General features: G+C 40.1%; 1 protein-coding gene across 1 annotated transcript; it reads left to right on the forward strand.

Annotated features, from left to right (window-relative positions):
* Positions 1 to 138: 138 nt before the first annotated feature.
* On the forward strand, positions 139 to 23,383 carry OLFM4 (olfactomedin 4). The gene is made up of 5 exons (NM_006418.5): positions 139 to 366; positions 5,674 to 5,826; positions 13,236 to 13,448; positions 14,431 to 14,590; positions 21,295 to 23,383. Exons 1-5 carry the CDS (start codon positions 163 to 165, stop codon positions 22,095 to 22,097), a joined length of 1,533 nt encoding a protein of 510 aa, NP_006409.3. The 5' UTR covers positions 139 to 162; the 3' UTR covers positions 22,098 to 23,383.
* Positions 23,384 to 23,842: the final 459 nt, after the last annotated feature.

The raw sequence follows: 23,842 nt of genomic DNA on the forward strand, positions 1-23,842 counted from the left end.
ATGACTCAGATTCCTGGGTGTCCTGAACCTCCTGGGGCAGTTCACACGTTCCCTGGCCACTCCCTCTTTTCCTACATGCTGGCCATGGGGAAATCACCACTGGGCACTATAAGAAGCCCCTGGGCTCTCTGCAGAGCCAGCGGCTCCAGCTAAGAGGACAAGATGAGGCCCGGCCTCTCATTTCTCCTAGCCCTTCTGTTCTTCCTTGGCCAAGCTGCAGGGGATTTGGGGGATGTGGGACCTCCAATTCCCAGCCCCGGCTTCAGCTCTTTCCCAGGTGTTGACTCCAGCTCCAGCTTCAGCTCCAGCTCCAGGTCGGGCTCCAGCTCCAGCCGCAGCTTAGGCAGCGGAGGTTCTGTGTCCCAGGTGAGGAGGCCCCAGAATCTGAATGAGCTGCATTCATTCCCTTCCATTTGCTTTTGGGTACCTGAATACAATTTCATGGATGGCTAGACCTGGGCACTCTAAAAGATTTACGACTCATTTTGTTAACTATAGGTGCCCCGGAAATGAATTAAAGCCTCAGTAAAATAATTAAATTGTTAGCAAGAGAGACGATATCGCAGTTCTCCAGCTGGGACTTTTGGGAATATCTATGCTTTAGAGGAATTCTCAAATCTGGCTGCACATTAGAATGGGTGGCCGGGGGGACTCTAAAAGTACAGATGCCTGGGTTCTGTACTTAAAAAAATCCTACATAGATGTATACAAATCAAATATTTTAAAAAACCTCTCCCCAGGTGATTCTAATATATAGTCCAAGATGGGAACTGTTAGGGAAAGACTCTGTGAGTTGCAGCTCTGGGAAGTTTGTCCAGTTGTTTTGCTGCCTGGCAGGATCCCGGAATGGTGAACAGTAGCCCTCGAGGGAGTGAGAGCCGCAGTGCCCTAGTTGAAGCCCTGACCATTTCTCTTGGCCTGGTTTATAAAGGAGGTGGGTGTCAGAAATAAGGGGGGAGTTACTGGTCTTTAGCAAAGTGTTATTACCAGTGGACATTCGCCTAGGGGAGTGTTCACTCTTTGCAGTCTTCTTTACAGGGAATCTTCAGGACCATTTCCAGCTCCAAACAACAGTAGCAACAAACAAACAAAACCAAAAGTCATGCATTACAACGAGGCTGGTACAGCTAGGCTAAGTGCATTGAAGGCATAGTAAGCCAGTTCCGTGGGGGATGAGTCCTCTTTGGATCTCCTTTAAAGAAAGGAGAATGGGCTGGAGGGCATGAGAGGTTAGGAGGTAAGAAGCAGTTATTCATTTCACTCTGGGCCTTTCTGCGGGAACCCCACTCTGCAAACCTCCTAGGCTATTTTTGCTAAGGTATAACTTGGGGTGGGGGAGTCTTATCTGGGCCAAAGCTTCTCTCTCTAAGCCTCTAGGATCTTTCCTCACAGGTCAGGTAGCTGCTTACATTATCATGCTTGAATGGAAGGGCAAATGGGAGAAGGGGGAGGAAAAGACTTTTATTTGTTTTATTTTGACCATCAGAAATTACAGATAATAAAAATGTGATAATTAACAAATGATTTGGATAGGGCCTAGATAGAAACAGCAGCAATAACATTTACTGTGTGTCTAATAAATGCCAGGACTAGGTTAAGTACATAATATATATCTTTTTGTTGTTGTTGTTGTTTGTTTGTTTTTTGAGACAGAGTCTCATTCTGTCACCCAGGCTGGAGTGCAGTGGCACGATCTCGGCTCACTGCAACCTCCGCCTACCAGGTTCAAGCGATTGTCCCACCTCAGCCTCCTGAGTAGCTGGGATTACAGGCACCCGCCACCACGCCTGGCTAATTTTTGTATTTTTAGTAGAGATGGAGTTTCACCATGTTGGTCAGGCTGGTCTCGAACTCCTGACCTCATGATCTGCCTGCCTCAGCCTCCCAAAGTGCTGGGATTACAGGCATGAGCCACCGCACCTGGCCTGTATTATCTTATTTAACCCTAAGAGGTAGGTACAATTAATGGTCCCATTTTAGAGATGTGAAAACTAAGGCTTATCAAGGTGAAGTCATTAGTTTTAAGTCACTAAGCTAGCAAGTTATATAGCTCAAAATTAGTCTGTCCATTCTCTTCACCATGTCTGTACATATAGGTTTCTATATTTCCAAGGAGTATAGATGAAAATTGCTTATTTTTTAGTTAGAGGAGGGAGGCTTGGGAATCATAAGTAGGCACAAGGATTCTTTGCAGTCAGAAATCAGTTACATAAGTTTATTCTGTGATACTCAATGATTTCTGGGGATGATCAGAATTGTCTAGCACTCTTTTTTGGACTGAGGTTAACAATAATAATTTATTATGAAGCTCCATCACCAGTCAGAAACCAGCATTTGGGTAAGATTATCAACTATAATAATAGAAAATAAAATACAGATCAAGAAACAGAGAAATCCAGAATGCCTATTGTCTGGTAAAAAGACAGATATTTAAAAGTAGATGAGACATGGTAGTTAAATTGGACTTAGAGGTTTTAATTTTCCTTTTTACTTATCTCTCCCTGGTGAGTCAGTATCACAACTCCAACTTTTTTTTTATACTGGACTAGGAGTCAATTTCACTATCAACCTAATTTTCTGGGGCTGGCTGTCAGCTTGATGAGCTCTTTGGAAGGTGGTAGAAAACCCTTTTATAACTGTCATTGAGTAAGTTCCAAACATATCATTTTCTGTACTTTGAAAATGTTGAGTACCATTATTTTATACCTTGAATCTTTGCTGACACTTAGCCTTGGCTACTAATTAGAGCCAGTTGCAACATTAAATCACCTTAAATGTGAGTTGCACCTTCTGCTGTAAGCACTCAGAGTACTCTCTGCCTCAGACGTCTCCCTCCTGAGGAGGGGCCTCTGCAGGGTCCTCAATTCACAAGACTAGGAAAAGCCTCAATGCTCACTCCACAGAGTAACTGGTATAGTTGGAACTGCAACGAGTCACGTGTTTTCTTGTCATCAGGCTACAAGGCTGGTTTGAAAAAACAAGTAGGGCTTTCAGAGTGACAGTGGGCCTGATTCCTGGGCAGAAATTGAGTCTTAATCATCTCCCTAAAGCCAGAACCTGGCATAGTGTAGACATCAGTAAATGTTAATTGAACACGTGCTTAGGGAAAACCTACCAATATAAGGTGTCTTGTGAGGTACTCAGGGTCCTATTTGCCCTACAGAAGGGGAATCGCATATTCTTCCAAAGGCCAAGGGGACAAGCTCTTGTCTTTGTCTCCCATCCCCCATGCTTCATTCATGTAGAGTTTGGGCATTCACCGCAGAGAGAGACTCATCACCATTAGCTTCATTGTCTTTGAATGCGAGGAGCAGAAATATCTCTAATGGGAGACACTGATCAAACTTATGGACCATTTTGATGTCAGCTGAGCATGCTGGGCTGATGATAAGCAGGATGGAAGCTGGGGGAGTCCACAGCTTTGGGACAGAGATGTTCAATAGAAACCGATGGAATGGCTGACAGCAGGGCTCATAATTACTTGTCTGTCTTTCAAGTGAACTTCAGGACTAAAAGTTGTTAGCTAGTGGTTCCTAATTGACTGTCTAGAGATTGCTTGATGATATCCACTGTTTTCTGAGTTGGCAGAATTTTTCAGAGAACTCTGAGAATGGCCCAACCCTGTTTGTGCAGCTAATTAAACTCCCCTTGTTAAAATGCAATGCAAGATTTTTTTTTTGCTAGACTGTTATTATAATAAGCTATTTCTTCAAAAGTCCTTGATATGTCGGTCTTTTCTGTAAAAGCCTTGGCATGCTTGAGTTGGAGTCTTTCTATCTTTGGAGAAATGAGTAAAGCTGGTTTCAAGGGAAGCTGGCCTCTCTGATAGGTTCCTGGTGTATCTTACCGAGTCTTTATTCATCTCTGGCAAAGACCCTTCCCCTATTCAAACCCTGCTGTCCACCCCTATGTTCGACATAAATCTGCTTGTTTCTCCTCCCTACTCCTGAACTGTTTCCCACGTAGGGATGTGATTGGAAAAGAAAATTGAGACCAAGGTAATAAATTTTGACTAAACACATAAAAAATATGATTGGATACACACACATATTTTTTTTTTCTGCTCATCTTGAAACTTAAATTAAATTAAAAACAACTTAGATGCAAAAGCCTTGATTGGCCCCGAGGCCAGTGATAAAATAAGTCTTCATTATAGAAGCATCTAGACCCAGCTTGATCAGGCATTATGGAGGTTGGTGGCCATTAAATGCACAGGACCCATTACACCACCTGCAGCTGGCTGACCTGAACTTTGAGAGACATGGCCAGAGTCACTTCTGGCTCTGAAGACCATTGCTGTCTCCTTAGAGGTTTCATAAAAAGTCCCTTCAGGCTGATGTTCCACAGGTGAGCTTTGGGTTGGCTTTCAGATGAGATCATTAAAAGGCACAGCAAATTGGCTGCCAAGGGTTACTCTGTAAGGCAATAGTAGTAATAAAAAAATGTTAATTGTGCTGGGATCCTCTTGGGGAAGTTCAAAGGGGACAAAAGAAAAACAGGATCTTTCAAAAGTGTCATTTAAAAATATGCGGTGGCACTGAAGTGTGAGTCTGAATATCTTAAATGAACATAAAATATTTTAAAATGACTTTTTCTGCAAATGGTAAGCTGGAAAAAAACTTTTATTAAAAAAAATTGCACAAAACCTTCAAGCTCATACGCTATTCACTTTCTAACAAATGGCTGGTTCCCATTTTGAAGGATGTTAATTTGCAATTTCCCAGGCGATGAGAGGATATGAATTTGCATCATATATTTTCACTGTAGCCCACATCTTTGGTGATTCCCTCATTCTGATGAAAAGGAATTGGATTGGGTTGGGGTGAAGGTGAGGAAGAGAAAATGAGCAGTAGAAGGAAAGAGAATGTGACATTTTCAGATCACCTACTCTGTGCCAGGGACTTGGCTCACATTACTTCGTTAATACTGAGGACAACCCTGTGAAGTAGGTTATCTCTATTTTACAGATGAAGGAACTAAGAATTAAGGAGATTTCACATCTAGCAAGTGCTAGAATTGAAATTCAAACTTAGCACTCTCATAGCTTCTTTATTTCCCTTTCCTTGCATAGAGATAGGAATAATCTCCTTTAAGACTCCAGAATGGCCGGGCGCGGTGGCTCACGCCTGTAATCCCAGCACTTTGGGAGGCCGAGGTGGGTGGATCACGAGGTCAGGAGATCGAGACCACCCTGGCTAACACGGTGAAACTCCGTCTCTACTGAAAATACAAAAAATTAGCCAGGCGTGGTGGCGGGCTGTAGTCCCAGCTACTTGGGAGGCTGAGGCAGGAGCATAGAGTAAACCCGGGAGCCGGAGCTTGCAGTGAGCCGAGATCGCGCCACTGCACTCCAGCCTGGGCGACAGAGTGAGACTCCGTCTCAAAAAAAAAAAAAAAAAAAAAAAAAGCCTCGAGAATGGGGAATCTTCCTTTAGGTAAAGTCTGCTGGCGTAGTGGTTTTCGTACAACCAGTGGCGATGTGGCTAAACGCTGGGTGGTCCCCACCTGTGAAAACAAAGCTGTTTTAGCTTGTTTCTATGATTCTATTCATTTATGTATTGGACTCCACTTACTTGCCTGTAAGTACTCTCGACAAGCCAATTTCTGTCACTCCAGTTGCCAAAAGCTCAGATTCCAGCTTGTTATTGATGTTCAACTTGTTATTATTTGCAGTTGTTTTCCAATTTCACCGGCTCCGTGGATGACCGTGGGACCTGCCAGTGCTCTGTTTCCCTGCCAGACACCACCTTTCCCGTGGACAGAGTGGAACGCTTGGAATTCACAGCTCATGTTCTTTCTCAGAAGTTTGAGAAAGAACTTTCCAAAGTAAGCATTTTCTTTTCAAACAATATCTTGATAAAGAGAAACAAAACAAAATGTGTTTTAATTTAGGATTTTATAAGCAATCATTCTTCACTATCAAAGACATCACGTTTTTATTCTATGGTGATTTTAGTATTTATTTTATAGGACACCAATGGAGTTCTTATTAAGGCAGGGAAAATGAGAGCACAGGAAGAAAGTGGGGTTCAAATTGTTCACGCCGTGGATAAACTCACTATAGTATTGTGGTACTTAGGCAGTTGGAAAGAAGCCTTGAGCTCTCCTTGCAAACCCCAACCTGCAATTTTTATTTTGTTTTGACGCTGCTTCTTCCTTTTGGTCTTCTAGGTCTTTCCTCAAGCTTTGCTTTCTTTTCTTTCTTCTCCTCTATCCCCTTTAGTTCTATTCTATCTCCCTTCTCTTTTTCCTTTTCTTCTATTTCTATTCCATTCCTGCATCCTTTAGTTTCTTATTTCTCTTGCCTCAATCCTTGCCCTTATTCATCCCTTCTAATCTCTCTTTTCCTTTCCTGGTTAATTCTTTTTTGGGGGGGACATTTTTGGGTATTTTCTTACTTTTAGATGATCTTTTTTTCCCTCCTTCTTTTCCCTTCCTCCACTTCCACTCCTTCAAATCCTCTCCCTCTCATCCTCCTCCCTCCCTCTCTCTTTCCTTTAACCCTTTTTTATCTTTACAAATTGCTCACTTCCTTCTCTCTCCCCCTCACTCTCTTTTTTTGTGACAATAAGTTGTAGTCTCTTTTATTTTTTTCTATTTTCTCCAAGTGAAATCCAAGGTTGTAGTCTCTTTATTTTTAATCTTATTTTTTTTTGGTGTATAGTAGGTGTATGTATTAATGGGGTACATGAGATACCCTGAGACAGGCATGCAATGCGTAATAATCACATCATGGAAAATGGAGTGTCCATCCCCTCAAGCATTTATCTTTTGTGTTACAAACCATCCAATTAGACTCTTTTACTTATTTTAAAATGTACAATGAAATTATTATGGACTATAGTCACCCTGTTGTGCTGTTGAATACTAGGTCTTATTTATTCTTTCTAACTACTTTTATTTTTTACCCTTTAACTATCCCCACTTCCATCCTCACCCTCCATCTCTTTCTTGATGGTTATCTTCTATTGTCTCAGCAGGAACATTACATTTGATGTGTCCAATATTAGACAAAAATTGAAGGCTTCCCTGGGAATTTGAATCAAGACTAATAGGTTTCTCAGCCTTGGTAAAAACACTGACTTGAACTCTGATTACTGTTTTTTTCTTTAGCCAGAGGAAGTTATCTTAAAGGGTTTGCCTTTCTCTGGGCTGGCTGGAGCAATGTGACTTGGTGTTCTAGTTTTGACTCCTTCCACCTTTTCAGCCCAAGTTAAAAATCAATTAGAAAAGTTCCTATTTTCTGCACAGGTGAAGTCCAAGCTAGTCTATAATCACATTATGCATTATTTAATACAACTCCATTAATTTACAAGGAGCTCTGGCTTTACTGCAAGATTCAGAATAAGTTTTCCTAAGAAATTTGAGCTTTGCCACCTCAACATCCAACATAGTTATCCTTTAAAACAAAAATTATGATGAGGCTGAGACCCTACTTTCAGCCTGAATTGGTAGATAAATATTCTAAGTTTAAATGAGTGTCCAGGAAAATGTGTTTGACTACTCTAGAAACCTAGCTGCTTAAGAAATATAATGTCCTTGAATTAATCAGTGGAAAAGGCACAGCATTAAATTATAAATTCTAACCATTAATATTCATAGCCTTATTCCAGCATAATCAAGTACAGATAAGAAGTTATGCATAAAAACATAACAAGTAGAGGAAAATCCTAGGTAAAGATCTTTTCAGTTAGAGTCATTTGCTTTGAAATAGTGGAAACTACTGATTTACATGTTGTCTTTGCTGGCAGCAGTGTGAAAGGCAGTTTGAAACCTTATGTGCTCCAGGGAGAGTATGTGGCTTGCCAGGTTTGTGAATATGGGACATTTAATTCCAATACTGTACGGGGGGCTGGTAACATCTGCTTTGCTAATGACAGATAGGGAAGAAGTGCAGAATAGGTGGGAAAGTTTTAGTTCTGAATGTGTCGGTGGCTGCTCTGATCCCAAAAAAACTGTGATTGTGGCCTAAGAAAAAAGTTTATCTGCTAGCTAGGATTTATATAATCGATTTAGTGTGACAGGTGATAATAACAACAATAATAGTAGCAGTTTGTTTGTGCTTTTTCAAATGCTTCCAGTTCTATTCTCTCCTCTCAAGTAACCCTTTAAGGCAGATAGGCCAGGTGTTGTCTCTCCCATTTTAGAGACAGTAAAACTGCAGTTCATAAAGGTAAGGAGACTTGCCCAAGGTCATTCCTCTCTTGGCTGGTTAAGCCAGGTCAGAATTCGAGTCTTCAAAATCATCTCAACTCTCTTTCCTCTTGGCCATGCTGTTAGCATCCTCCAAGGTAGGCCCAGGAAGAGATGCAGTAGTAATGCCTTCAAATCCAAAGTTATCCCTTTAGCTGAGGGCTTTCGAATTTCCAAGTGAGTTATTACAGCTGTCCCTAGGTTGCCTTGAAAATTGTCATTTATCCGGGGGCCTGGGAGAATGCCCGTTTAGGACAGGCCAGTAGAAAAGGTTTTTGACTGCCTTACATTGATTCATTGTCTGTCAGTACACAGAGAAGACAGGGAGCTGCCTCTGCATAAGATGCTGAAAGCATTTTATACTTTTCTGTTGTTTACGGTATGTCCTTTTGTGACTATACTTAGGAAAGGGATGGCACAAAAGGCAGCTCAGGATTTTCTCTTTCTCTGGAGGCTTATGGTCTTTGGCATGAGTTATTTAATATGACACATTTGCTAGTAGATCCTCATGCACGGGAAGGTTGAGGCAGCCTAGGAGACATTAAGGCAACCCATAAAGAAATAACATTGATTGAGCCGTATTTGTATAGTGAAATATAATAAATTAAAAGGTCAGATTGGAAAATGCTGAAATTACTGTTTCTCTATTAATTTCTATAATTCATAGGGCCTCCATTAACTAGGCACTTAACGTACATTATCTCTAGTCTTTATGATAATCTTGTAAGCTCAGTATCATTACCCCCAGTTTACAGGAAACTAAGGGTTAAAGAAATTAAGTGATTTGCCCACTAAGTACTGAAGTTAGATTTGAGTCTAGTTGGGTCTAGCTCCAAAGTACTTTATATGTCTTTACAATCACTCCAGGCTCAATGAACCCTGTTACGTTTACTTTGAAACATATATTGAAAATAGTAGTATGTTGCAAAGTAAACGTACTTATTTCAAATAGTCTGGCCATAGTTATAATCACAGGTTTTGAGAGACTGGCAGAAACATGAACCAGATTAATTCTTTAGCTTGCTAGCACTACACCCTTATTTATTACAAGACCACATTAATTATAAGGAACAATAACAGGCACCCTCAAATCAACGCTCACACAAATTTTATTCCTCATCAATGATATAGTATGTGCATAACAAGCAAAATAAAATGGAAGCTGTGAATGTTAGGCTGGTGGCTTAAAGGCTCAACTAAAACATAGATGAGCCATCTAGTGCTCAGACTTGTCATGATGAGGAGCTTCGAGATAAAGATGTTGACACAGGACGTGTCTCCTCAAGGCTAGACCCATATTCTTGATAGAATGTTTAGCAGCGTCCCTGGTCTTTAGATGCCAATAGCACTCGCCCACCCCCCAGTTATGAGAACCAGGACAAAATCACCACCACTACCGCCCTCCCTCCATTTAGAACCACTTTTCTAGATCAAAATACAGCCATAGGTCAGCTAAAGACAGGGACATGTTCTGATAAATGCATCGTTAGGTGATTTTAACATTGGTGAACGTCATTGTATACTTACACAAACCTAGAGGGTGTAGCCAACTACACACTCAGGCTATATGATATAGCCTATTGCCAGGCTACAAACCTGTACAGCCTGTGACTGTACTGAATAATGTAGGCAATTATAATACAATGGTAAGTTTTTGTGTGTGCATATATATCTAAACATAGAAAAGGTACAGTAAAAATATGATATTTATAATCTCATGGGACCACTGTCATATATGCAGTCTGTCATAGACAAAAATGTTATGCAGCAAATGACTGTATTTTCCAGAAGAAGAAAAAAATGCAGAAAGTGCCCCAAGTGCCAGATGTGGGACTGGAGGCTCCCAGGCAGGCTGGGCTGCCTCTCCCAAGACTGCACCTCCCAGGAGGAGCTGACATGTGGTCAGCATTGTCCACGCATTCCCAAAGCTACAGATTCATATATGTGAAAAGTTCATATGAATGATTTACTTAAATTAGTAAAGTTCACACTCTGAAGTCTTTCTGGCCCATCCCCAAGCTCTTTTGTGTCTTCTCTAACTCCATGGATGATTGCCATTTTCCTGAACACCACTGAGCATCCTTTAAGTGTCAGCTGAAGAACCTTGAGTTTTTTCCTCAAATGGATCTTTACAGACCCTTCATTTTGTCTGCACCAGGGCAGGCACACCACACATTTTTATAGGTAACAAACTCCAGAATATGCCTTGCTTTTTTTTGTGAAAATCTAGGAGAACCACATTTTATTTAGCAGAGATGACAGTTGAATCACTCATTTTTGTAGAACAACAGCTGCGATGTGCCACCAAAATGTTCCAGAGAAGCTGAGGGTGTTTCATTTGTTCCAAGAGCTGGCAAGGCCAAATGCCAACAAGCATATTTATTTCTCAAACTTCCATTTCTGTAATGGATTGGCACTTTATTTATTTTTATCATAGTCAAGGTTTTATGCCTGAGTTTTGTAGACACTGGAACCTGGCAGCCCTATATCTGCAGTGCACTTCTCAGGGGGACTTGTTAGGTTTTATATATAGTGAGCCCTCCATAGCCTTGGTTCCGCATCTGCAGATATAACCAAACTCAGATTGAAAAATTTCACGGAAAAAAACTAATAAAAATAACCATGTAACAACAGGAACTATACAAATAAAAAACAATACAACAATGATTTATATAGCATTTACATTGTTTTAGGTATTATAAGTAATCTAGACTTGATTTAAAGTATTTGGGAGGATGTGTGTAGATTGTAGGCAAATACTGTACCATTTTCTGTCAGAGTCTTAAGCATCCTTGAATTTTGTTATTCTTGGGAGGTTCTGAAACCAATCCACCATGGATACTAAGAGGTGGCCGTATATATGTTTTAACCTCCCTATCCACCAAAATATCACCAGCTTTGTCATCCTCCGAGTTATGGTACATCCAATGGCAGTGAGCATCAGTTGCCCGAGGAGATACACTAGCAGTGCCAAGGACTGTTTTTTCGACTTTCATTAAAATCCTTTTTGCCTGAAGCCCTAGCCCTTCAGGTCTGTGGTCTATGAGTCTACTTTAATTTGCACAATGGGGTTAAGTGGAAGGGCTGAAATGACAGAAGTTAGGATTGCTTTTGGTATAAGAAGGATTAAAGGCCAACATCTGGCTCTAAATTCATCCAGGCACTGTGGATCAGCTACTTGATATTAGTGTAGTTTTGGGAAAAGTATCACTTCAGTTCAAATTTTTAAAAAGCATATAAAGCCAGCAACTTATTTAATGAGCAGGTCCTTAAAAAAGCCATGGCATTTTCTTTAGAGATCAGACACAGAAAGAACCACCAACTGTGTTTATTAAAATATCCACTTGGATATTCCAATTATACACTAAACTGCCAAGGGAATTTTTGGAAGTATTTTAACTTAATGATCAGACATTCAAATATATGCAACAAATCTGTAATTTAAAGGTCTGATTGCAATAATCAGTTCTTGGAATAAATGTGGGTGCACTTAATGAAATGTGTACTCTACAGGGCACACACACTCACATATTGTGTAGTAGGTTGGATCTCTATGCCACTTTGTAAAAGGCAGAGGGGATCAAAACTAATTGTATATGGCGATCAAAGAAGGAATTCGGCATAGCGCATTTCTCCCTTCTCCAGAAAATACTTAGATGTAGAGCCATGTTTCTAAATGGAAGGAGGGTGGTGTTGGCCGTGGCAACGATTTTGTCCCCAGGGAACATTTAGCAATGCCCAGAGACATTTTTGGTTATCATAACTGGAGAGTGGTTGGATGCAACTGGCATGAAGAAGCCAGGGATGCTGCTTAATATTGTGTAATTCACAGCACAACCCCCACAAGAAATGACAATCCAGTCCCAAATGCTAACAGTGCTGAGGTTGAGAAACAATTAGAGTAAGTGTGTTGAAGGGAGGAGAGATGGCAAGAGACTATGATACAAACCAGTTTAGTTTGGGGAGTTAATGTCTTCAAACATTAAAATGGAGATTAAGAAAAAAGGGCTCAATATCACTTGATCATTAGAGAAATGCAAATCAAAGCCATAGTAAGATACCATCTCATACCAGTCCAGAATGGCTATCATTAAAAAGTAAAAAAATAACAGATGCTGGTGAGATGGCAGAGGAAAGGGAACATTTATACACTGTTGGTGGGAGTGTAAATTAGTTCAGCCATTGTGGAAAGCAGTGTGGTGACTCGAAGAACTAAAAAGAACTATTATTCAACCTAGCAATCCCTTTACTGGGTATATGCCCAAAGGAATATAAATTGTTCTACCATAAAGATACATGGGCGTGTGTGTACATTGCAGTACTATTCACAATAGCAAAGACATGAAATCAACCTAAATGCTCATCAATGGTACACTGGATAAAGAAAATATGGGCCATATACACCATGGAATACTTTGCAACCATAAGAAAGAATGAGATCATGTTCTTTGTAGGAACATGGATAGAGAGCTGGAAGCCATTCTCCGAAGCAAATTAACACAAGAACAGAAAACCAAATACCACATGTTCTCACATATAAATGAGAGCTAAATGATGAGAACACATGGACACAAAGAGGAGAACAACAGAAGCGTACTTGAGGGTGGAGGGTGAAAGGAGGGAGAGGAACAACAACAAAAAAATCTATTGGGTGCTAGGTTTAGTACCTGCGAGACAAAATAACCTTTACAACAAACCCCCATGACATGAGTTTACCTATATAACAAACCTGGGTATATACCCCTGAGCCTAAAACCTTTTTAAAAAATGGAGATTAAAATATACCTGCAAATGATGATGCTGAAGCAAAATTATGTTTAGCCTAGCAAAGTATAAAATCTACCTCCCTTCAATTGGAGTAATAAGTTCTTTGTATATGGATAGATTTTAAAAATCTAGTTAAATGTATTTTTGATCTATTTATTTACAAAACACAATGATTGGCAAGAATCAAATAGTTCTCAACTCAAGGGCTCGGTAGTGGAAGAAGATGGTGTGATACTACTCAGGGAATTGGCTTGAACCTTTTGATTTTCTTTCAGGTGAGGGAATATGTCCAATTAATTAGTGTGTATGAAAAGAAACTGTTAAACCTAACTGTCCGAATTGACATCATGGAGAAGGATACCATTTCTTACACTGAACTGGACTTCGAGCTGATCAAGGTAGAAGTGAAGGAGATGGAAAAACTGGTCATACAGCTGAAGGAGAGTTTTGGTGGAAGCTCAGAAATTGTTGACCAGCTGGAGGTGGAGGTAAGGAGTGAACTCACTTCTTGGTAAATTAATAATAAACTCCCTTCAGTGACTGTAAGCAAGTACTAGTACCAGGAAGTGAAACTATCTCTTCCAACTTCTAATTCTCTACTGTCTCATGGCCACATGGCATATCACTATGTTCTGTTTTGGATAAGGGCATGTGTTTGAATAGTAAGTTAAGCACATTGGGAATGTGCTGACTTAGGAGCAGATGTTGTCTAATGGTCAGAATCCTGCCCCAGAATAAAATGCCCTTTCAACTTCTCTGAAAAGGAGCTGGCATAAAGTTGAACAACGGTTCATGGCCAAGCTATATGAGGTGTCTTCTCTGCTCTAGATTTATCCTCATGGAACTAGAAATCCACAATATACCTGATTGTGGTAAAATTGCTAGGTTTGTTTCTCCTTTTGAATAACCTGGAATCCTTCTCTGCAAACTGGAAACCCCCTTTAAGAAATTTCTTGTATATTTCTGTAAAGCCTTTTAAGATCTGTGGATAAAGACCATCACATTAACGTTATGGTTGGGTAATTTATATCAACAAAAATTTACTAGCACAGTCATGACATGGGCTATAATTGAGAATTCTAGTTACGTATTTTAGAATTTAAGCTTTCTCTGGCCCTCACCATTCATTAGAATCTTAATTATAATACAACATGAGTAAACACAAGTTTATAGGGGAAGGTTATTAGAAATGAACTTTAATGGACATTTGTGGATGCTGAGGATGAGCTTGGGCTCTATTATTAAAGCTATTAAAATCTTTGCCATTTTCTTCTTGTCACACACATCTGCCTGAGATCTGACAGGCATTCATGCTAAACCATAAAATGTATTCTTCCAAATGAAACCATTCAGAAGAATCTCTGGTGTATTCTCTGGCAATGTTTCACTAAATGACAAATTCAGCCCTGGAATGTTTATGAAAGAAATTGCACCATAATATAAAGTCACTCTGAATTTTTATTTCCTTAGATAAGAAATATGACTCTCTTGGTAGAGAAGCTTGAGACACTAGACAAAAACAATGTCCTTGCCATTCGCCGAGAAATCGTGGCTCTGAAGACCAAGCTGAAAGAGTGTGAGGCCTCTAAAGATCAAAACACCCCTGTCGTCCACCCTCCTCCCACTCCAGGTAAGCATGCCAGTTTTTTTAACCACTTGTGCCAGACCCCATAAGGAGCTGTGAGTGGGGTGGGGAAGGGATTGGGGATTGCAATGGTGAAAGAAGAAGGTGGGTTGTTTTTTTTTTTTTTTTTTCAGTTCTCAGTTTTCTCTTCCATGTTTTAAAATTCCCTTCCTCCCAAGTATTCTACATGCTATCATATTCTGGGTTTCAAAGAGGAAGAGCACAAACAATGAGTTGATTTAAAGCAAAATCCACGAGTTACACGTATTCTCTTTGCATTTTCTAACAGGGAACAAAAATCTCTATGGTGATGGAGGCCCTATCAGGGGCCTCAGGGGAAAGCCTCTGGAATCTGTGTGTGGCATCCACTTTCCTGTGGAGTTAAGGACTGATTGGCTCACTTATCTGATGAGCTGGGTTTATGCCTTTGATGCTGCCATCTTCTCTCTCTCCTTCTGTTTCTCTTTAATTTTTTCTTTTTTCTTCCTATAAATGCATGCTGAGCACCTGCTATATTGTGTGTCCTGAGATTCAGTGAGGATTAAAGGAATGACCCCACATATCATGTGCTTGTGGGTGTGTCTTGCCATTCCTCATGGATTGTGAGTTCTTGGAGTAGGGGTGGCATGTTCGTCTTTAATGAATTCTCATTGGGGTTAAGTACAGCACAGAGGTGGGTGTTCTGCAAATATACCCATGAACAGAGGCAGTGGAGTGTAGGGTACAAGAACATAGCTTTAGAATTCCAAAGACCTGAGCTTCTCAGCTAGGTGGCTGCAGCAAAAAGGATCCTTAATATCCTCATTTGTAAAATGGGAGAATAATAGTGCCTGCCTTGCAGGGTGGCTGTGGGGATTAATGAGTCAGTGCTTGGGAAGCTCGGAACCTTATGATCGGCACTCACACGCTGGCAATGGATATTGTTAATAATGTTGATAATTGAAGCGAAAGCCTTGCAGCAAAACAAAAGCAGTGCCAGATTACTGTGCCCTGCAATGCATTCCTTCAGGTAAACTAAAGCCTCTCAGCCACAGTGTTCAGCCCCATCCTTTAGAGATATCAATGACACAGGGACCTTCTCTCTGCAGGTCCTGAGCATCTTAGCCTGAGTGGGGACTGTATCTTTTCATCAAATCATGCAATCCTTTTATTTTTATGAATTCCAATCCTCACACCTGCTTTCTTTTAGACTGTGTTTCTGGATTATTGTCATTGTAACTGATTTTTTAAGGCTTCAATTATTAAATAGGTATAGCCATAGATATAAGCCTCTTGGTCTTCTTCAGGTGGATTTTTTTCCTCCCTCTGCAAATAGGAGTGTGTCCTACTATGACAGGTGTCATCTAATGGTTAGAATCCTGCCCCAGAATGAAATGGCCTTTCAACTTCTCCAGAAAGGAGGTGACATAAATTTGAACAACTGTTCAAATTTCGCATCCTGCATAGGAGGTTTAGGGCAGACAACATGGTCTGTCCTCTGTAATAAACTAAGGCTAAATTTAGTCTGGGATTAGTGGTGCAAAAATGTAGCAAATGAGAGCTGTTTCTGGTGGACCACAGAGGACTCACTGAGGCAGAGGCTGAAGCAATGACAACTCCTGATAATCCCTGAACGAGCTCCCCAACACCCCTTGCAAATCCTCCTCATGGAATAGATTTTTCTGGCACAATTTTCTATGCATCCCTTAGAATGAGGACATTTTAGATGAAGGAATATTCAGGGCCATCTAACTTAGCCTCGTCTTGTCTCAGAGGAGAAGACGTGGATGGTAAGAACGCTGCTTTTCCTGAGGCCACACAAGTAGTTAATGACAGAGCAGAAGCTGCAAGGCAAGGGTCTTTGCTCCCTGGTCAGTTCAGGACCGAAGGTGTCAGGCAGCAGTAATCCAAGGACAACGGTGGGGAGAAAATGCATTGCTTAGTATCCAGGGAAGAAAACAAGTGAGCCTGTTGGGTTGTTTTTGTTGGATTTTTTTTTTCCCAGAACTTTCCCCTAGGCCCTCACACTTAGACTTCTGTGATCCATCCTAGCCCAGCTGTGTTGTTTAAGCAAATTGGACCCAGATTTTTACTCACTTTCCCACAACCTTGGCTGTACCTGAATCCCTGCCAAGCCACTTGGCTCTCTTCCAGCTTTGTTCATATTATATTTATGATGTTTATATTAAACTGACTTTTGGTCATGTTTTTAAATCAATTTCTTTCACTTGCTCTCTTTCTGTTTGGATTGGTTGATAATGCAGAATTGGAAAATCCCCAAGCACCACAAACTTGTGAGCCTGTGGAGACTTTAATTAAAGTTATTCTCTATTATGGGACTTTAAAATCTGGCCTGTCTGCTTTTTTCACTGCAGAGTTGCACAGAATAAAAAAGACTATATGCAAGTCTCAGCTCTAAAGTAACTCTGCGCTCTCTGGGCCCCCTCCCTTATAGCTACAGTTTGCTGACCCAGTGGTCAGCTTGAACTTAGAACAAGTGAATGTATCCCAGGTTCAATAAAATATGCTTCCTATTTGGTTTTTGCTACAAACAACGTCCTTTTTCTGCCTCATTTCATAGAACTTTCTAATCTAAAATAATTGGCCTTCTACTCATTAACTTTTTTCCCTTAAAACTTCAGTCTGTCTCTGTTTTGCCTGTGAATCTAAATGACTGTATATAGGCCAAATGTGATCGGGTGCTCAGGGGTTGATCTCCAGTTTGCTTGGGGATGCAAGGTTCTGTGCTGGTCCATAGTGATGCTCAGTAAGTAGCTGATGATTAAATGGGGTCTGAAAGAAATGGGGTGACCTGCTAAAATCTCAAGCTTAGGGAAGAGCCACATGTTGAACAGCATATATCCAACACTTCAGAGTCAATTTAGTCTTAATCATTTTATGACTATGATTGTTTTAATTGCCTAATTCTTATAAGTCAATCATATTCTCCTCCTGGCTCAAACAAAGTTCAGTTGCCCAGTTGAGAGAGTGCATTAATAGATCCAAGACTAATTTTCCTCTGTAGGCATATAATTATTGGCTTCAAAAAAATGCTACTAACCATGATACTTTTAAAAAGCCAAGTCAGAATATTTTAAATTCTCATGATTATGGCTTCCTCAGGTATTTTCAGAGTACCATGGTGCCATCTAATGAATTGCATGATGAAGAGAGTGCCAACCAAGGCTAAACTTCTATAGAGGGTTCCTCAAATTATGTTCCATGGAGTAAATGCCAGGCTTTTTGAAAAACCAGATATGTAGCAGGGTAGAAGGCTAGTGTTTTATAAATAAGGGTAAGCTGAGTTTAGGTGACTTGATTAATCTTTCATTCCTTTATTCCACAAACATAATTTGGTGCCACTGTGTGGCTGGCCCTGTTCTGGGTACTGGGGTTACCAGCATGAGTAAAGAAACCTCCAGAAGCCACTATCTAGGAAATGAGACATCTAAACCTCCAGTTGTAACATGATGTGATTATATTGAGATATTTACCATTTACTGAGTAACATTTACATGTCTTCTCTGTATTTTTCGTAACTATTTTGCAGAGTTGGTATTATTTTTCTTCTGACATGAGGAAACTGAGGCTCAGAAGGTTAAGTAACTTGCTCAAGGATACACAACTACTGTTGGAATCAGGCTTTGAATTAGAATCTGTCTAGTAGTATTTTCCATACTAGGCTGCCTTCCATAGCTGCTCTAACAGAGAGGTGCACCTGTGATTTCTGGAGTGAAAAGAAAATTCCAACAACTCACCTATCTGCTTAACACCAAATTATTTTTGCTTCCTTGGTAGTGGAGTAGGTAAAAGGGTACTGTTGCTCCTGACAGTTCTGTGCTGTGTGTTCTCTTCCACCAGAAAATGCAAAATGATTCAATGGTCTTTCAGAATTCTTGGATCATGATTGGGCAATGGGCTGTTGCCCAAGTGTCAGGGTGAAATTGGGATGGAAACTGGGTATGAAGTATGGAATGAAGTATGTCTAAGACCTTGACATGAAGGAAGGGGCTGGCAAGGAGCATGAGATAAGGGAGGGTGGTGAGAAGCTCAGTGAAGATGGGATGGGGGGATGGGGACTCTGAGGAACAGTGGGCACTGGACTGGCTGTCAGTTTCAGTATCGTGTCCAAGATGGTTTGCTGCCAGGAGTCGAGGAAGCCCGCCATAGCATTTTTCCTGGTCTGACATTGTTGTGGCCACATTTGTAGCATTGGCAGCAATGTTGAGTTCTCATCCCCATTTCCACTTCCTTTCTACCACAGCCGGGGCCCTAAAAATAGCCCTTTATCCTTACCCATAGAGGATAAAAGGAGGATAACAAATGAACAGGAAAGTGTTTAGGAATGTTTGGGAGGTGAGAAAAACAAAGTTTCATACATTTTAATATTTACACTGGGCAATTTGAATTTTCTGGTCAACTTATGAAATGATGAGCCACTATTACTATTAGTAGTAGTAACAATAGTAATAGTACTAATACTATTATACTAATAATAATGCAATTAGTTTTATGATAATAGCAGTAGTAATAGTAATTTTTTGAGAAGTTTATTTTGGTTCCTTCATGTCTAAAAATTTCCACATCTGGGGACAGAATAGTTTAACCTCTTGGTAGTGCTTGAATAAGTTATATGCATCATCAATTTTCCTTAAATATTTTGTTGCTGTCGGTTTGGGATATTTTCTTTTCAGGAAGGCAAGACTCAATGAAGCAAACAATTATTGTCTTCCAACCTGAAAGAAAAAAAAGTGACTTTCCTCAGAGTGAAATGTAGTTAAATAAATAAGTTCTCAGGAAGATACTTTAGCTAGAAAATCCAGTTTGTAGCATATGGAAACTTGAACAGTTTTTGTTATCATTAAACTGAACACACCGCTAACTTTATTTTAATAATTCATGCATTGTTTCATAAACAAAAGCAAACAAGCATTCATCTGAGAGATCACTTTTAGTAGAAGAAATAATAATTTATAATTTTATTTATTATTTCTTCAGTGGAGAATAGTCTCTTGGCTGAAAACACGTTGCTTTTTTATTTATGAAATGGCACATGCATTATTAAAATAAACCTGTGACTGTGTTCTGCTTAATGATATGCAAAATTATTTGAGGTTGGATACAGAGTGGTTTCATTTCTCTACCTGTTGTATGGTTGGCTGGCTTTCTCACCAACTGTGGATTTATGAGAGCATTTAAGGAGCATATATTTAATTCTGGGACCAAAAAGCCCCAGCCGATTGGAAAAATAAAAACAGAATTTCTAGTAATGGTTTCACCTTTGAGCAGTCCTTGGGTGAGGAGGATGGGGAGGGAAAGCATTTAGCAAGGAAAGGAATGGGTCTTTCCATATTGGACACAGCAGAGACCCAGAGACAAAGGCTTTGCTCCCCCTTCCCCGCCTCCATGCTAATCTCAGGCAATTCTTTGGAGCTCTGCTTTTGGCTCCAGCTCACCTCATGTTCCTCAATGGCTCTCTGAGTCCCTGCAAGTATTTCAGGCCAAATCCAACAATTCAGGTTCTGCTCCTTTCCTGTCTCACCTGCTCTGCTCTGAGCAGCAGGACGAGGGAAAATGACCTCAAATATACTTGAAGTTGGGTTTTCTTTGTTATCCAATAAACCATCTCATGAGTTTTTTTGAGTGTTAAGATCCCAGAAAATGTGTGTTCAACTCTTTGGATAGTTATTATAAAAATACTGGAGGAACTTTATTTTATTTTTATAGCTCATAAACTCCTGGGATGGCAGGCATTTCAGCGGGAGTACAATGTGAAGGGTTGATCGCCCAGACTGAGTTATTTACCCAAGTGTTACAGGGAATGTAGATTCAGTGGACCAGTGAATCTTGTCCCACTTGATTGTACACATTGTGACAATGACAGTGTCTGGATGGAAAGATGAAATACTTGCATGTCATTCTATGGCACAATAGCATATGGGTTATGAACAGCAGGACTCACCATGTAACTCTGCAGCAGGACGGTCAGCAAGTGATTTATTGATGGGCTGTGCATTGGGTACGGAGCAGGCAATGTTGCCCCAAAATAACTTTATGGCTTCTCAAGGGTGAAATCCCACCATTATAGGACCATCTTTCTGGATCTATAAAATGCTATATTTAAAACATCCTCTTCTGAGAATAGCTTAAAGCAGGATTGGTACCTGGCGTGGATGTGCAATTGGGGGTCCCAAGGAAGGGGAGAGTGAGGAAGGGCATGAAGCCTTGCCTGGGAAAATCTTCTCCCTCATCACTATTCTTTCTGGGATAGATTTCTATAAATCTTGTGGATTTATAGAAATAGGGTAGGATTGTGGAATAATCTTGCTTCCTTGATTTTGCTATAAGAAAAACAAAATAAGATAATATTTGCAAAATGCTTTCTGATAGAAGGAAATATATTAAATTCACCAAGTCTCCCTTTCCTCTCTCTGGGCCTCCAAACTTTTTAAATATAGTTCTTGCTGGTTTCATTATTCCTATTTTCCAGATTGAAAGCCCACCCATGGAAACAGAATGTAGTTCTCTGTAGAGCTGACATTGGGTTTGCATTGAGACTGAATGCACTGAACTAAGAGGAGGTTTGGCTCTTCTCCATCAGAACCACTGTTGTTATTGAACCTTGACAGGAAAAATATTTATAGATTCCTTTGGTGCTTAGGATATTAAACTATTTGTATCCTGTCATTCCTTTTCTCTAAAAATGCCTTTTTATTTTCTTGTTTGTATAGGGAGCTGTGGTCATGGTGGTGTGGTGAACATCAGCAAACCGTCTGTGGTTCAGCTCAACTGGAGAGGGTTTTCTTATCTATATGGTGCTTGGGGTAGGGATTACTCTCCCCAGCATCCAAACAAAGGACTGTATTGGGTGGCGCCATTGAATACAGATGGGAGACTGTTGGAGTATTATAGACTGTACAACACACTGGATGATTTGCTATTGTATATAAATGCTCGAGAGTTGCGGATCACCTATGGCCAAGGTAGTGGTACAGCAGTTTACAACAACAACATGTACGTCAACATGTACAACACCGGGAATATTGCCAGAGTTAACCTGACCACCAACACGATTGCTGTGACTCAAACTCTCCCTAATGCTGCCTATAATAACCGCTTTTCATATGCTAATGTTGCTTGGCAAGATATTGACTTTGCTGTGGATGAGAATGGATTGTGGGTTATTTATTCAACTGAAGCCAGCACTGGTAACATGGTGATTAGTAAACTCAATGACACCACACTTCAGGTGCTAAACACTTGGTATACCAAGCAGTATAAACCATCTGCTTCTAACGCCTTCATGGTATGTGGGGTTCTGTATGCCACCCGTACTATGAACACCAGAACAGAAGAGATTTTTTACTATTATGACACAAACACAGGGAAAGAGGGCAAACTAGACATTGTAATGCATAAGATGCAGGAAAAAGTGCAGAGCATTAACTATAACCCTTTTGACCAGAAACTTTATGTCTATAACGATGGTTACCTTCTGAATTATGATCTTTCTGTCTTGCAGAAGCCCCAGTAAGCTGTTTAGGAGTTAGGGTGAAAGAGAAAATGTTTGTTGAAAAAATAGTCTTCTCCACTTACTTAGATATCTGCAGGGGTGTCTAAAAGTGTGTTCATTTTGCAGCAATGTTTAGGTGCATAGTTCTACCACACTAGAGATCTAGGACATTTGTCTTGATTTGGTGAGTTCTCTTGGGAATCATCTGCCTCTTCAGGCGCATTTTGCAATAAAGTCTGTCTAGGGTGGGATTGTCAGAGGTCTAGGGGCACTGTGGGCCTAGTGAAGCCTACTGTGAGGAGGCTTCACTAGAAGCCTTAAATTAGGAATTAAGGAACTTAAAACTCAGTATGGCGTCTAGGGATTCTTTGTACAGGAAATATTGCCCAATGACTAGTCCTCATCCATGTAGCACCACTAATTCTTCCATGCCTGGAAGAAACCTGGGGACTTAGTTAGGTAGATTAATATCTGGAGCTCCTCGAGGGACCAAATCTCCAACTTTTTTTTCCCCTCACTAGCACCTGGAATGATGCTTTGTATGTGGCAGATAAGTAAATTTGGCATGCTTATATATTCTACATCTGTAAAGTGCTGAGTTTTATGGAGAGAGGCCTTTTTATGCATTAAATTGTACATGGCAAATAAATCCCAGAAGGATCTGTAGATGAGGCACCTGCTTTTTCTTTTCTCTCATTGTCCACCTTACTAAAAGTCAGTAGAATCTTCTACCTCATAACTTCCTTCCAAAGGCAGCTCAGAAGATTAGAACCAGACTTACTAACCAATTCCACCCCCCACCAACCCCCTTCTACTGCCTACTTTAAAAAAATTAATAGTTTTCTATGGAACTGATCTAAGATTAGAAAAATTAATTTTCTTTAATTTCATTATGAACTTTTATTTACATGACTCTAAGACTATAAGAAAATCTGATGGCAGTGACAAAGTGCTAGCATTTATTGTTATCTAATAAAGACCTTGGAGCATATGTGCAACTTATGAGTGTATCAGTTGTTGCATGTAATTTTTGCCTTTGTTTAAGCCTGGAACTTGTAAGAAAATGAAAATTTAATTTTTTTTTCTAGGACGAGCTATAGAAAAGCTATTGAGAGTATCTAGTTAATCAGTGCAGTAGTTGGAAACCTTGCTGGTGTATGTGATGTGCTTCTGTGCTTTTGAATGACTTTATCATCTAGTCTTTGTCTATTTTTCCTTTGATGTTCAAGTCCTAGTCTATAGGATTGGCAGTTTAAATGCTTTACTCCCCCTTTTAAAATAAATGATTAAAATGTGCTTTGAAAAAAGTCATCTTTTGTTTTATTTAATTTTAATTTTTTTTTAAAGCTCTTAACAGGGTAGTCCATATCTTGCTATGAGGTTGGGAGAATGGCTACCTCCCAAACACTAGTGCGGGGAGATTGCACACCTAACAACAGATCACATCAATAACTTTTATAAGAGCCCAGAGTTAGGCTGGCTCTTTCATTTTTCTTTCCCTTTAAAATCCACTCTTTCTGGCAGCTTTTATTGTACATGACTGCCCTATTATCTTTTGGGATATGACCTTATGTACTTATTAATTTGCATGACTGATCTGATTATTTCCAATGCTAGACTACATTTATGTAGCTTATGTTCCTTTTCCAATTGAGCTATGAACATGGATCAGAAGCCTCTGGATCTTCCCCAGACAGGAGGACTTGGGCAGAAAGCAAAAGGACTAACTGGCTATACCAGGAAGAGAAGTACCTTTACCAAAGAGA

Source organism: Homo sapiens, chromosome 13 (genome assembly GCF_000001405.40).
Source record: "Homo sapiens chromosome 13, GRCh38.p14 Primary Assembly".
Classification (NCBI taxonomy): Eukaryota; Metazoa; Chordata; class Mammalia; order Primates; family Hominidae; genus Homo; species Homo sapiens.

Excerpts from the sequence above, each read along its gene's own strand:
- OLFM4 (NM_006418.5), top strand. The coding sequence starts at position 163 with ATGAGGCCCGGCCTCTCATTTCTCCTAGCCCTTCTGTTCTTCCTTGGC. Across the intron at positions 367-5,673 it reads GCGGAGGTTCTGTGTCCCAG|TTGTTTTCCAATTTCACCGG; the intron begins GTGAGGAGGCCC and ends TATTATTTGCAG. Across the intron at positions 5,827-13,235 it reads TTGAGAAAGAACTTTCCAAA|GTGAGGGAATATGTCCAATT; the intron begins GTAAGCATTTTC and ends ATTTTCTTTCAG.